The 14,182-nt window shown below is 48.8% G+C and overlaps 1 protein-coding gene across 1 annotated transcript in view; it reads left to right on the forward strand.

Annotated features, from left to right (window-relative positions):
* The window catches only part of SLC18A2 (solute carrier family 18 member A2), a 38,317-nt gene that overhangs the window by 11,169 nt on the left and 12,966 nt on the right, over positions 1-14,182 (forward strand). The window contains exons 4-10 of the mRNA NM_003054.6: positions 1,117-1,175; positions 1,766-1,849; positions 2,123-2,215; positions 2,995-3,084; positions 3,197-3,240; positions 3,315-3,375; positions 5,515-5,610. Of these exons, the coding sequence (NP_003045.2) occupies positions 1,117-1,175; positions 1,766-1,849; positions 2,123-2,215; positions 2,995-3,084; positions 3,197-3,240; positions 3,315-3,375; positions 5,515-5,610 (527 nt within the window). The remainder of the gene's footprint in view (positions 1-1,116; positions 1,176-1,765; positions 1,850-2,122; positions 2,216-2,994; positions 3,085-3,196; positions 3,241-3,314; positions 3,376-5,514; positions 5,611-14,182) is intronic.

A 14,182-nucleotide genomic window follows, 5' to 3' on the forward strand; every position in this document is an offset into this window, starting at 1 on the left:
CGATTACAATTTTTTATTAAAGCCTGGAATGGAAGAACCCTTCCAGGCTGTTGCCAGAGCTCAGGATGCTTGGCCCTTCTGCCTTCCTGGATTCATTTCATTCCTCTCCAGGTTCCTGAGGGTCCAGAGCTAGAGACAGAAGAGACTTAGAGATGTTTCAGGCTCTTCTGGGTTGGAGCAAACCTTCAATTGGGCAAGAGCTCAGCCACTGTTGGCTTCCTCTCAAGGCAGAGGGGCTGGGAAGCTGCCTGTACCCTCATGCCCCACCCACAGAGCAGGGACCCAGCTGTCTACTTAATCCAGCAGAAACAGAGGACAAAGAAGAAAGAGAATGAGGGAGGAGATGACATTTCTTAGGCACCTTCTATGCTCTAGGCACTGGTGTTAACAGTTTAACATCCATATCTCTTTCTGTACTCCAGTCCTGGGAGGTGGGCGGTGGTCTCTCCGAGGGACTGAGAGGAGACCTCCCTAGATTAAGTGGCAGGGTCATGTGTCCAGCCAGACATGGCATAGGGGAATGCCAGGGTCTTTCCACCAGCCCTGTTGACCTGGCGCCAGAGTCCTAGGTGAGCAGTGGTCTCACGGAGCAATTTGGATTTTGAAATTTTGCACAGAAAATGAGACTTTGTCTTTCTGGGTTGGCCTCATGGGGTCAACAGGAAGGCAGATCTTAACATCTTGCTTCCTAATGCCTCTTAGACATACTGCAGTCTGCCAGTGGAATCACTTGATGGCCTTTTACCCGAATCATTTGATTGCAGTGGCTCCTTTGGGAGAGCTTTAGCAAAGACTATAATTAAAGGAATCATTTTTTAAAAATGACAGAAATAGGGGCCGTGTATTTTGGATGTGTTCTGGGTTACTTGCCAATATTGTGTTAACATTTATTCCAAACAAATTTCTGTTCACAGTGGCAGTCCATAAATGTATTCACGTTCCAAGACAGTCAAACACAAAAAGGTCACATAGGAAGCACTGAGTATATGAATTTTCAGAAAAGTCCACCAAACACTTATCTGTCTGATCCCAAAGGGTAGCCAGGCGAAAATCAATATAAAGCCTTAAAAAAATAGCCTGCAGTCACCAGATTTGTCTGATGTTTGTGTTTTGCAGAATTGGCTATCCAATTCCCATATTTGCGGGATTCTGCATCATGTTTGTCTCAACAATTAGTAAGTGTGTGGTGTTTTCCTTCTGAGTGTGGGTCTCATCAGGGTGGGCATTGATGCCCATGAGCCGGGAATTAACAATACAACCTAAGGACGGCGGGGGGGCGGGGGGGGTCGTGGTTGGCTCATGCCTGTAATCCGAGCACTTTGGGAGGCTGAGGTGGGCGGATCATCTGAGGTCAGGAGTCCGAGACCAACCTGGCCAACATGGCAAAACCCCGTCTCTACTAAAAATACAAAAGGTAGCCAGGTGTGGTGGCATGCACCTATAGTCCCAGCTACTGGGGAGGCTGAGGCAGGAGAATCACTTGAACCTGGAAGACGGAGGTTGCAGTAAGCCGAGATTGCACCACTGCACTGCAGCCTGGGCGACAGAGCAAGACTCCATCTCAAAAAAAAGTATATGGCCTGGGAGGTTTGTGTATTGGCAACAATTGCAGAAAGGAATTGATAGCTTTTTACGGAACAAAAGCACAGGGTGGCTAACATGCAAATGCTCCACTGGGTTAAGGGGGGCTTCTGAAACGTTCCTGTTTGGGACGGTTGTGTCCCAGCAGCACTGATGTGCGGTCTTGGACCCCCTCTCTCGGCAGTGTTTGCCTTCTCCAGCAGCTATGCCTTCCTGCTGATTGCCAGGTCGCTGCAGGGCATCGGCTCGTCCTGCTCCTCTGTGGCTGGTAGGTGTGGAATGCCTGAGTGAGTTCGTGAGGGGCCCCTTGCAGAGTGAGCTGGACTCATTCAGGGAATTCAGGTATTGGTGGTGGTTGGGGTGCTGGGGATTCTTGGAGAAGGCACCCACTTTCCTCTTGGGTTCTGCTTGGTCTTACATTTTAGTGAATCTGACAGGTTTGGGAAGATCACAAGGCTGGCTGGAGAGGGAAGGCGAGTCACGCATTATTCTTTTGCTGTTCCCCGGAGCTGGCCTGTTGACTATTTCTTTCCCTGTGTAGGGATGGGCATGCTTGCCAGTGTCTACACAGATGATGAAGAGAGAGGCAACGTCATGGGAATCGCCTTGGGAGGCCTGGCCATGGGGGTCTTAGGTGGGTAAGGCCCCCGTGTAGGCAAACTGGCAAGAGGGGCCTGCCTGGTGCTGGACAGCGGCAGTCCTCGCCCAGTGACCCTGGCGCAGTTTGCACTGACACAGAGGTCCCCTTTTTATTTTTTTCCTTTCCTGCTTTCATGGAGACTTTGAAAAATGGTAGGAAGAGCCCTGAGCTGGGGGTGGAGGGGATCAGGACTTCCCCTGCCTCTGCCCCAAACCTCCCTGGGCCCAGATGGAAAACCAAAGGTTGAACAGGATGGTCTGCCAGACCCTTTCCTCGGGAACATTCAGTGAGTTGTGATCACGGAGAACCTTGCTTTCTGGGTCTGCCTCCCCCAGCTGCCCTGGCTGACTTCCCAGACCAGGGGACAAACATCTTCCCTGAGAGGGATTCAAAACCTTTTCCTTCCTCTTCCGATTTCCCGCCTGCTTCCAGGAGCCTGCAGCCTTGCCTGCGCTGGTGTACAAGGAGCGAAGTCTCTGTTTACACATTTTCCTGTGCAGTGGAAGCAGCCCAGCCCTGGGCCTGGATCTTGTTTCTCTCGGGCCTTTGCTTTCAGGGTGACCTTTATAGACTCCTGCCCATTTCTTAGGAAAAGGCACTTGGAGGAAGTTGCCAAGACAACTGAACTCTAACCGAACAGAACAATAGGGCAGCCACCCCAAAGCCTTATTGGAACAAAGTAGAGAGAGAAACACAAGAGTCAAATAGATGGTTCTAGTACAGGGAGAGGGCATGTGTCCCAGGGGTGGTGTCCCCACTTTCTCTCCCTGCAGTGGGCCCCCCCTTCGGGAGTGTGCTCTATGAGTTTGTGGGGAAGACGGCTCCGTTCCTGGTGCTGGCCGCCCTGGTACTCTTGGATGGAGGTGAGTGAGTCCACGTGGGCGCCATGCCATGACCTTGGCATCGTGCTGGCACGCGCTTGGGCCACACCTGCTTTCTGAAGAGGGGCTTGTCTTTTTTATTTTTATTTTTTAGCTATTCAGCTCTTTGTGCTCCAGCCGTCCCGGGTGCAGCCAGAGGTAAGCGGCTGGGAATGAGGGCCCTGGGGGAGGGGGCATGGTGCTGCTTCTGACCCGTGTTTTTTTCTTGACAGAGTCAGAAGGGGACACCCCTAACCACGCTGCTGAAGGACCCGTACATCCTCATTGCTGCAGGTGGGGCTCTGTGGGTCTTCTGAGTCAGGGGAATGCGAGGTGATGGCCGCGTGCTGGAGGCAGGGGTGGATGGCCAGGGCTGATTTTCGTTTTGCTGCTAGAAATGTTGGGCTATATAAAAAAACAGAAAAGGCAAAGAGGCTACAAGTCAAAGGAAATGGTTTTCTTCCGCCATTGCTTTCTGACACTCAGCCAAGGCCCTTTTTGTCTCATTTGGGGAAAATCAAAATGGCGTATGCTGGGCTCTGCAGAGCTGCCTGGGTCCTGGGGATGCCCGGCTGGGTTTGTTTGGAGCTAAGCTTGCCCACTGTGTTTGTATGGAAGGCCATCATTGTTTGGCCTTGAACTTTCCGGAAGGAGTCCTTGGCCTCAAGGCAAGGGTCCCCGGTGGGCAGTCTGACTCACCTTGGCATATATGAATAGAAACTGACAGCAGAGCCCCACAGGGACCAGAGGGGCTCCCTTCTTGCAGAGAGCATCCCTGCCGAGCAGCAGGGAGGCCGTTCAAACACCCTTTGGCTAAAGGACATGCTTTGGCCTAGAGGGGCTAAAAGAAAGCACTGGGGTTTTGTGACTCTTGGGAAGGATAATGGTCTGCATCTATCCAAGGGACTGTTCCCCAAGACTGTCCCAGTGGTAGGAGGCTGCCTGCTTTGCCAGGCCCCGGGCTGCCTAACCAGGGACCAGCCTTGTGTAGGTGTTGCTGGGCCTCAGTACCAAGGTAAGCAGACCCTTGGGGTCAGGCCAGGAGAAGGTCTGGCTGCGCGCTGATGTGTTGGTCTCTGGGGCAGCCTGCACTGTAGCACTAGACCCAGTTAGGGTTAGACTTGTCTAAGCACGGCTCCCTAACACAGGTAGGCTGGAGGGCGCCTGGGAGAACTGGGCACCAGTAGTTAAGTTCAGCCTTTGTCAACCCTCAGGCTGGTTTTGTTTAACCCTTCTGCTGCTGGATTTGATTAGGGCAGCAGGTATGTAACCCTGGCCAAGACCCTGTCTATCATGCTTGCTGGCCAAAGGGATATGGAGGTGGCATGGTGACTTATTCATGCAGTGACGTCTGCAAGATGCAGGGGGCATCCCAGAGCTCAGATGCTTCTGGAACCCTGGCATCTGAGGTGGGGACGAGGAGGTATGGTGAGGGACGGGGGCTCCAGAAATGTGACTTCCTGAACCTCGGGCACGTCTGAGCAGGGCTGTGCAGCCTGGGCCTGTCCTGTCTTGGGCTTCCCTGGAACCTCACTGCCTAGTACCTGCTCACAGGAGACACAAAGATGCTACCCAGCACTCCTGGACTGTCATCGACACTTCCAGACAGCCCGACTGGGGAAGGGAGTTGAGAGCCAAGTGGCTGTCCACTTGAGGGGAGTCCTGCCATTGATATGCTCTGCCTTTAAGTGTCATGTCGAATGAACAGACCTTTCTTCACCATATGTGCACCTTCATCACGATTGCACAATATTCTTTGAATTTGTTGTAGCAAATTAGAGGTTCCAAGAGGCACAACACGGGAAGTTCCCAGAACGATGGAGAACAGTTCCGTGGGTCTTTTTCCAGATAGTTCTATATTTACAAAGGGTTCTGGTTAAGAGATCATGAATATTTGCATAGGTGCCCTTATGTACCGCTGAACCCCGCCCCCTCCACCTAACGGCATGCCTGTACTGAATGCACCTGATCCTGCTTGGATTTTCTGGCATTTCTAGGTATCATTAGAAATGCCCACGTATATTGCACAGTAAAACACAGATGCGAGAGCCTCAGGCTGCCCCGAGACTGTGTGTGGTCTGGAAGTGGCCTGATTGCTGGGTGGCCCCAAGCAAGCTACTGCATTAATAAACTGGGCTTCCTTTCTTCATTGATAAAACCATAATTGGGTAGGTTAAACCAAAGGAACTCTAGGGCTGCCTCCAGTCCAAACTTTGTCTCTGGGATTCTAGTTGTTTAAAATGAGGACGACGACGACCATGATGATGATGATTATGATAAACAGCCTTTGCTGTCCCCTTGATATGCGATTTATCCTTTACTTAATGAAAGTAGAAGTTGCGGTTATCTGAGCTGTAGGCGCATGGAGTCTAACTGTGCCTGGAAATGAGAGAGGAGGCAGAAGCCACTACAAAGCCCTTTCCTCCCTTACAGGCTCCATCTGCTTTGCAAACATGGGCATCGCCATGCTGGAGCCAGCCCTGCCCATCTGGATGATGGAGACCATGTGTTCCCGAAAGTGGCAGCTGGGTAAGGACTGGGGTGGGCTCTTCTGATTCAAGAGCATTTGTCCCCAGGGCAGCCTTTGTCCCCAGGGCATCCCTGCTGAGTTGCCCTTATGGGGATGATAAAGTGATTGCTTCTGTTTGACTCTTAATGGGGTCATTGCTTAGGGCAGCCTTGGGGTCTGTTTGTTCTCTGGTTTATCCATCATCCCTGAGGGGTGCAGAACTCACACAGACACATCAGATCTGGGCAGAAATGAGAGTAAAAATACAGTCAGCATCTTCCCCTGTTTCTGAACTGGACTAACTGGACAGCCATAAAATTTATGTGAAAGAGACTAATAACAAACTAATTGTTAAAAGGATTAATTCTTAAAAAGTATTTTTAATTTTGAAAAGTAATACATGCTTATTATAACAAAATCAAAGTGTGCTGATTGAGGACGTAAAACATTTTTAAATTTCATGCTCATCTTTCTCCCTCCCCCAGCCCATCTCCTGTGATATTCATTGTTAACAGTTCTATGTCTTTTTCTAGATGGTTCTGTGTTTACCACCCTATTGCATGAAATGCCTAAAAATCCAGTCAAGTGAATTTTGCCATTTACATCACTGTGTGACCTCTTGTTTTTCCTTCATGCAATTTTGTGGCCATGTTTCCGTGTCAGAACAAGTAGATTTACTTTTTAAAACTAATTAAATTTTATTTTTTTTTATCAAAGTTACACATGTACATAATTGTAAGTCAAAGATAAAAGAATTATAAGGAAAAACAGCTGTCTTTTTCCCACGCCTCTTGATCCCCAAAGCCCTTCAGATTCCATCACCTTCAACGTTTTTAGATCTTTCTTCTGCTGATACCCTTATGTCTCTAAATAATATGTGTACACCCCCGACTCTTTTTTTTTTTTTTTTTTGAGACAAAGTCTCACTCTGTCACCCAGGCTGGAGTGCGGTGGCACGATCTCCACTCACTGCAACCTCTGCCTCCCGGGTTCAAGCGATTCTCCTGCCTCAGCCTCCCGAGTAGCTGGGATTACAGGCACGTGCCACCACACCTGGCTAATGACACCCCCTTTTTAAAAATTTTCCAATTTCTGACATTGTCCACCAGCTTCCTAATACAGTAGATGGGGATTATTTAATGCCGTTGCAGCGCCACATAGAAGTATCAAACAACCAGCTCACACATTTTCCCATCTTCTGTCCTCCCTGAATAATTGCATTACAGCTTCTTGTTAGACTGGCATTCAGCACTGACATTATTGTGACTGGGTAATTATTGTTCACAGCTGACTGAGCTATGTAGGGTACTGTGATTAATTTCCTTTCTTTTTGCAAATTTAATTTTCCTGGAGTTAGTCGTTGCCTTGTCCTTTCATTTTCTTAATGTTTTATGTAGTGTTTATGAATATATCCACCAAAGTTTCTGGCAAAGATGAAAAATTCTCCAATTGCAGTCAAGTGTTGGCAAACCTGATCTTTCTGTGTATTTGCTCGTTTGTGGATGTCTGTCCTAGGTCTTCAGTCTAGACTTCCTTCCCCATCACCCCAGCATCTTCTGTGCCTCTCTTCTGTTTCCTGTATTCCTTGCCCTTGACTGACTTCCTCCTTATTGCAGAGCATAGCCTCCCACAGCATAGCCTCCCACAGCTTCCTGAGAGTGTGCGTGGCAGGTAAAGGTCTCTGAGACCCTGCATAGTTGCAAATATTTTACCCTTATCCTACACTTTGTTGACTTTGTCTGCATGTATAATTCTTGGTTGGAAATCATTTCCCTTGGGAGTTTTCGGGCCACTGTTCTGTTGTCTTCTAGCATCCAGGGTTGCTGTGGGGGAGGCCAGTGTTGCCCTCATTCCTGAGCCTCTGTAGGAGCCCGAGGGACCTTTACTTCTTCTCTAGGTTATAAAAGTCCATGTTGATGATTTGCAGTGGGCTCTGTTTTCCTCCTCTGGGCTGAACACTTGCTTAATCAGCCCTTTCACTTGGGGAACCCCATGTTACAATTCTGGGGAGACTCTTTGTATTATTACTTGAATGAATCCCCCTATTTTCTCTCCTGTTTTACTCCAGTTGGCTGAGCGTTAGGCTCCCTACTTTTATTCTTCTAATTTCTTGTCTTTCCCCTTTTCCATTGAGTTATTCCTGTTCATCTTTTAAACTGCTTATTGAGTTTTTAAAATTGATGCTATCATATCTTAAATCTGAAGAGCCTTTTGTGTATACCCTGAGTGTTTGGGGTTTTGGTGAGGTTGTTGTTATTGCAAAAACACCCTCCCACCATGTTCCTGTTTCAGCCTCTTGTGTTGCCCCGGTTGCCATTCTGGTTAATTTCTGTGGAGAAACTGTCTCCTGCCAGGGTGAAGGCTGGAGTGCTAGGGGCCCCACTGCTCTTAACACAGCCTCTCTGCCTGCTTTCATGTTGACAGCCTCTGCTTTCAGCCCCACCTTCACAGTACCCGAAGCTTCAGTTCCTTTCTGGCTGTGAGGCACAATGGCTCTTGCCTCTTGCTGGCCTCACCATTTGCAGGTGGAAGATTCCAGCATTCTCTGCGGTGTCCTCTGCTCACTTCTTCCTCGTATTGTCCCTTCTCCTCTCCCACTCTGTTTGTCCTCAGGAAGGTATGGGGGCGGAAGGGGGCATAGGCTGTGTGTCTAGAATTTTCTTCTATTCCTTTGCTAGCATTTAAATGGACTTTGAGGTGGGAGTGGAGAAAAACTATAGATTCAGTCTGCCCTGTTTAACTGGAAACCTTTTATTCTTTTTAATGGTTGCATATTGTTTTATTGTTAAAATAAAACAACATATAACTGTTGAAATCCTCAGTCAGTCCCTATTATTGGGCATTTGGGCTCATTTTGTTGCCAGAAAAGGGATCTCAATCCAGACCCCAAGATAAAGATTTTGGAAATCACTCAGGAAGGAATTCATGGCATGTCACAGAACACAGTAGAAGAGGCAAGTTTATTAGAAACAACTCTGTTAGAGCAGGGCGTCCTCAGAAAGCACATCTGGACTTTCTGCTGTTGTAGGAGAGTGTCCTTGTACGTATCTTTAGGCTGTTTCCTTAACTCTAAACATCTCATGACTATGGGTCGTGACTGGCAAGGAATGTGCTTTGCTAGTTTTAAGGTGGAGCTGAGCTTAAAATGGTGTAACTTCTGCTTCCTTAACAGTTCCAGTTTTTGCCATTAGAAACCATATGGCAGGCTGGGCCGGTGGCTTATGCCTGTAATCCCAGCACTTTGGGAGGCCGAGGCAGGTGGATTTCTTGAGACCAGGAGTTTGAGACCAGGAGTTCAAGACCAGCGAGATCCTGTCTCTACAAAAACAAAACAAAACAAAACAAAACAAAAAACCCAAAAACAGCAACAAAAAAATTAGCCAGGAGTAGTAGCGCACACCTGAAGTCCCAGCTACTCGGGAGATTGAGGTGGGAGTATTACCTGAGCCCAGGAGACAGAGTTTTGCTCTTGTTGCCCAGGCTGGAGTGCAATGGCGCGATCTTGGCTGACCGCAATCTCTGCCTCCTGGGTTCAAGCAATTCTCCCTTTTTCTTTAAGAATTTATTGACAGTCCTTCCTAGAGATTTATATTCTTTTTATAGTTCTTTCAAGGTACGTGTGGATAGCTTCAGATGGAGACTCTCAGCTCTGAATCAAGCAGACATTTTCAATGTCCCCAACCCTTCTTCAGGTGACCTTATTCTCTCACAGGCATCCAGCCCTGGGGAATGGGGGTGTCTTGCCAGAAGCTGCCCCCTGGCTTAGACTTTCCCTGTTCTGCCTGCCTCCCTGCAGTTGGGCTGGCCTGAGTACCAGTGTCTTTGGAATCTGCAGAGTTGCTATGCTCTCTCATCGAACAATACCTAAAAAGTCCCAAATGGCCGGGGGAGAGGGGGTAAGGATGGAGAGAAACTGCTAATGGGGTGTGAGGTTTCTTTGTGGGATGGTGACAATGTTCTGTAATCAGATGGTGATGATGGTTGCTCAACTCTGTGAATACACTAAACATCACTGAGCGATGCACTGTCAAAGGGTGAATTTTGTTTTTTTTTGAGACGGAGTCTCAGTCTGTTGCCCAGGCTGGAGTGCAGTGGCACGATCTCAGCTCACTGCAACCTCTGCCACTCGGGTTCAAGCAATTCTCCTGCCTCAGCCTCCTGAGTAGCTGGGATTACAGGTGCCTACCACTGTACCCGGCTAATTTTGTATTTTTAGTAGAGACAGGGTTTCACTATCTTGGCCAGGCTAGTCTTGAACTCCTGACTTCGTGATCCCCCTGCCTCAGCCTCCCGAAGTGCTGGGATTACAGGCGTGAGCCACCGCATCCTGCCCAAAGGGTGAATTTTAAACCACGTGAATTGTGTCATAAAACAAAACCCAAACCAAGCCTGACATCAGAAGAGGTATTCAGTGAAGGAGGAAGGATTCTTGGAATTAAACAAGAATGTTTCTTAGGCAGAAAATTTAGCTCTGAACTCCCTAGCAGCCAAGATGAAAGTGGAAGCCCAAAGACCTTCAGAGCTCCTAAAGAGGCGTGCCGCTTGGCAGGAGGGGTGGACTTGGATCTGACACCGAGTCAGCAAACAGCAGATGAGAAGACACCCTCCAGCCTTGTTGCTCATACCCGCTGCTGACACTGGAGAGGCTGTTTCCCAGCTTTTCTTCCCTCTGGCCCTTGAGGTGATGTGGATCTCTCGGTGTTTTCAGGAGGCGCCCGCTGTCCAAGTGGGGTGTGCACTGCTGAGTCCAGCTGCTGTGTTGACTTTGCATGCAACTCTTGAGCTGAGAAGCTCTTATTTGTTTATTTATTTTTAGAGACAGGGTCTCGTCCTGTTGCCCAGGCTGGAGTGCTCTGGTGTAATCATGGCTCACTGTAGCCTCAACCTCCTGGGCTCAAGCTGTCCTCCTGCCTCAGCCTCTCAAAGTATTGGGATTACAGGCGTGAACTGGGTCTCCCGGCCACCTAGCTGAACTCTCATCCTCTTTGAATGTGTCCTGGCCATGTGCAGGACACTTAAGATGTTTTGTGCTCATCCTCTTCAGACAAAGCCTGAGGCTTTCTTTATAAAATCTTTAAAGTCAGCCAGAAGCCATGGGCCATCAGGGGCAGATAGCAGAGTGCAGGCTGCCTGGATCTCATCAGATTGCTGTGTGGGGCCTATCACCGGCGCCAGACGTTCACTCAACCCGCTTGCTGCACATTTCCACCACCGAGGTTCCTCCTTTCATTTGCCCCAGAGATAGACATGTCTGTCTTTAAGAGAATCAGGTTTCTCTACCTGCCTCCTGTGTCAGCACCAGCAGGAGGGGAAATACCCCACCTTCCCTAGTTCTCTGTAGCTTTCAGCCCATGGCTCCCTGACCCTGGGGATGGGGTACTGTGAGTGAAGCAGTGCGGAGGACCCAGTGCTGAGGGCGGGGAGCTGCCCCTGCAGCCCAGACTCTGGTGTTCAGGAATCTTCTCTGAGCTCGCTCCAGTCCAGGGTGAAAGGGAGGCTGTTCTGCCTTTATGCTTCCCTTCACTGTTTCTGGAGAAAGACTATGATATTTGAAGTCAGGGCAAACAATCTTATTAGCTGCATGGGTGACACAGGATTGCTCTTGCTGAAGGCATTGTTTTTGGCCACATTTTTTAGGGGTAGTAAAGATGGCAGCCTACCCATCTTCCACGTCGCTCCCTTGCCAGCCTGCCCCCCAAATTCCTCATCTGCCACTTGAGGGGAAGCCCTGGGCTTGAGTGGGTGGAGAAAGAATGATTTCATGGTGTTTTCTCTATATCTGAGTTCTAGGTCAGATGGCCTCTCCAGACCCCTTGAGACTTAGGGACTTACAGTTTGGGGTGAGGCCTACAAGCCCCCAAAGGGAAACTGAAGCCCTGGACAACAGGCCCCAGACAAGGATGGAGGCACACTCTTGTCTTCTGGTTCTTCTAGCCCCTTTGTATTTAATGAGCTGTGGGGATGCAAAGTGGGATGGAGGGTAGGACACGGGCCTGTACCAGAAGACAAGAGGGACTGCCAGCCTTCTGTGGCTCTGGGGTGCGAGGACTTAGGATCCTCCTAAGCCTGCCATAGGACAGGGCAGACCATTGCCCCTATTCTGGTTCTAGGCCGAGCCCTTGGCCTTCAGGGAGGGGTCATCTTGAGCTTGGAGGAAACCCAAGGTCTCATTTCCACCTTTGCTTCCGGGGCTGGATGGCCAGCTCATCTCCCCGCAGGCTTCGTGATGACCGGAGCCCCTCTCTCACTGGCTGGCCAAGGCCGTGGCTGAAGCCAGATTGTACCAAAATGTAGAAGATCTCCCTTTGGTGAACTTTCTGGTGTGAGCAGAGATATGTGAAGAGTGTTGCCCCGCAGAAGGGAGGGTTCCTGCCATGGCCCAGGGCACTGTTGCAGGCCAGTCCCAGCCAACACTTTTCTCAGAGTCGGGAGAAGCCCTAGAAAGAATTCTTGCTGAGGCTGGGTGCGTGGCTCATGCCTGTAATCCTAGCACTTTGGGAGGCTGAGGCAGGTGGATCACTTGAGCCCAAGAGGCAGAGGTTGCACTAAGCCGAGATCGTGCCATTGCACTCCAGCCTGGGCAACAGAGCCACTGACATTCTGCCTCTATTGAGACTCCACCTCAAAAAACAAACAGGATCTTCCAATACTGGAACTGCAGTCCCTCAGGGGAGTGAATGGCCACAGAGAGTGGCGTCTGCCTTCTAGATGGAGTCTGGGCCCTCTGGGTCACCACAGATCTCTCTTTGCTCCATTTTTCATTTTATTTCTCTGACACTGAGGCTGAATGTCAGTGGTTCTTTATCATGGTATCTGCACTGTTATTTCTGCTTGCAATTTGCTTGTTTTATTCATTTATACCTACCTGGCCTTTGGGGATTCTTATCATGAGACAAATGTTGTCATGATATCTTACTATCCGGACTAACAGTCCCTAGAGCTGGTAGGAAGTCCTACGACACAGCTTTTGAGGCCAGGTTTATATACCATCTGCTCTGTGGAGCTTGGCCAGACGCAGTTCCAGGTCCCCAGAGCATGACACCTGTGTTTTTGTTATGTTCCTTACTTGGCCAGGTCACAGTTTAAACGTCATCTGCTCCTTTCCTTCAAAACACTTGCGTCAGGACAAGAATCACGTTGTCATTGTCTTTGCTGCAGGCCACTGCTGTGCTGGGCACGTGGCTGTCAGTAAATGTTTGCTCAATCAGATTACACTGAACAATTATTTGACCACCACATATTGCTAAGCATGACAGAAATAATTCTCTGGAAAATGAAATGAGATTGCTCTTTATTAGTGTTTCCCAGAACTCCCATGTCTAGAATGATCTGGTTTTGGATTTAGCTCATGGAGCCATTTATTTGGAAGTCCCTGCTGTGTTGGAAGACTCAGCCTGTTTCTGGGTTTGATGGTAGACGTTCGTGCTTTATCCTAAAGAGACAAGATCACACTTGCCCGTGAGTGTGTGGCCAGCTGCTGGGATGAGAAGGACCTCCAGGCCCCATGCATTTTGAGTGTAGCAGGCACTCGGTCATCTGATATCTACCTGCATGTCTCACTTATGCAGTCCTCTGATTGAGAACAAAGTAACTTTTACTATGTGTGGGCAAGGCTTGGAATCAAGTCTGGTATATCTGATTTCAAGGAAAAAATACTAAAATCACTAGGAGTTTGAAAAGCAGTCACTCATAAAGAGATTGTCCTGTGGTTCTGAGGACCACACACAGCTTGGATGGATGAGGACCAGACACAGCTGATGTGGACAATTCCCCTGTAGCCAAGCTGGGTCTGATAATGGTTAGGCCTTTCTGTTCAATGCGGAGGACAGGTTCAAGGCCACTGCTGCCACCACCAGCAGGGAATCACCCTGGGCACATCAGAACCTGGGGGATGCAGGTGTCCTCTATGGGGACAGCAATAAAACTTGGATAGGAGGCCGGACGTGGTGGCTCACGCCTGTAATCCCAGCACTTTGGGAGGCTGAGGCAGGCGGATCACCTGAGGTCAGGAGTTTGAGCCCAGCCTGGCCAACATGTTGAAACTCAGTCTCTACTAAAAATACAAAAATTAACTAGGCGTGGTGGCGCATGCCTGTCGTCTCAGCTACTTGGGAGGCTGAGGCAAGAGAATCACTTGAACCTGGGAGGCAGAGGTTGCAGTGAGCCAAGATCGTGCCGCTGCACTCCAGCCTGGGTGACAGAGCGAGACTCCATCTCAAAAAAAAAAAAAAAAAAAAAATCTGACTTGACAACAAAAAATGACCAGGCAGACATTTATGTTTCTGACATAGAAAAATGTTCATAAAGCTAACTGAAACAAGCAGGATAGAGTATAATCCCTTTTTTTTGTAAATCAAAACACACATAAATATATTTATATATGTAAATAAACTTACAGGAGAAAATAACTGTGGTGATTATCTGAGTAATGGATGGGGTTTGGGGTAATTTTAACATTTTTCTTTTTGTTTATCTCACGGTTCCCTAATTCTTTCAATGACTGCGTCTTACTTCTGTCGGATGAAATCACACATAAGATTGCAGGTGCTGAGCTCCCAGGCAGGAGCTGTTTGTATTGGCCCACGTGTGAAG

The sequence above is a fragment of the Homo sapiens genome, chromosome 10 (assembly GCF_000001405.40).
Source record: "Homo sapiens chromosome 10, GRCh38.p14 Primary Assembly".
In the NCBI taxonomy this organism is placed as follows: domain Eukaryota; kingdom Metazoa; phylum Chordata; class Mammalia; order Primates; family Hominidae; genus Homo; species Homo sapiens.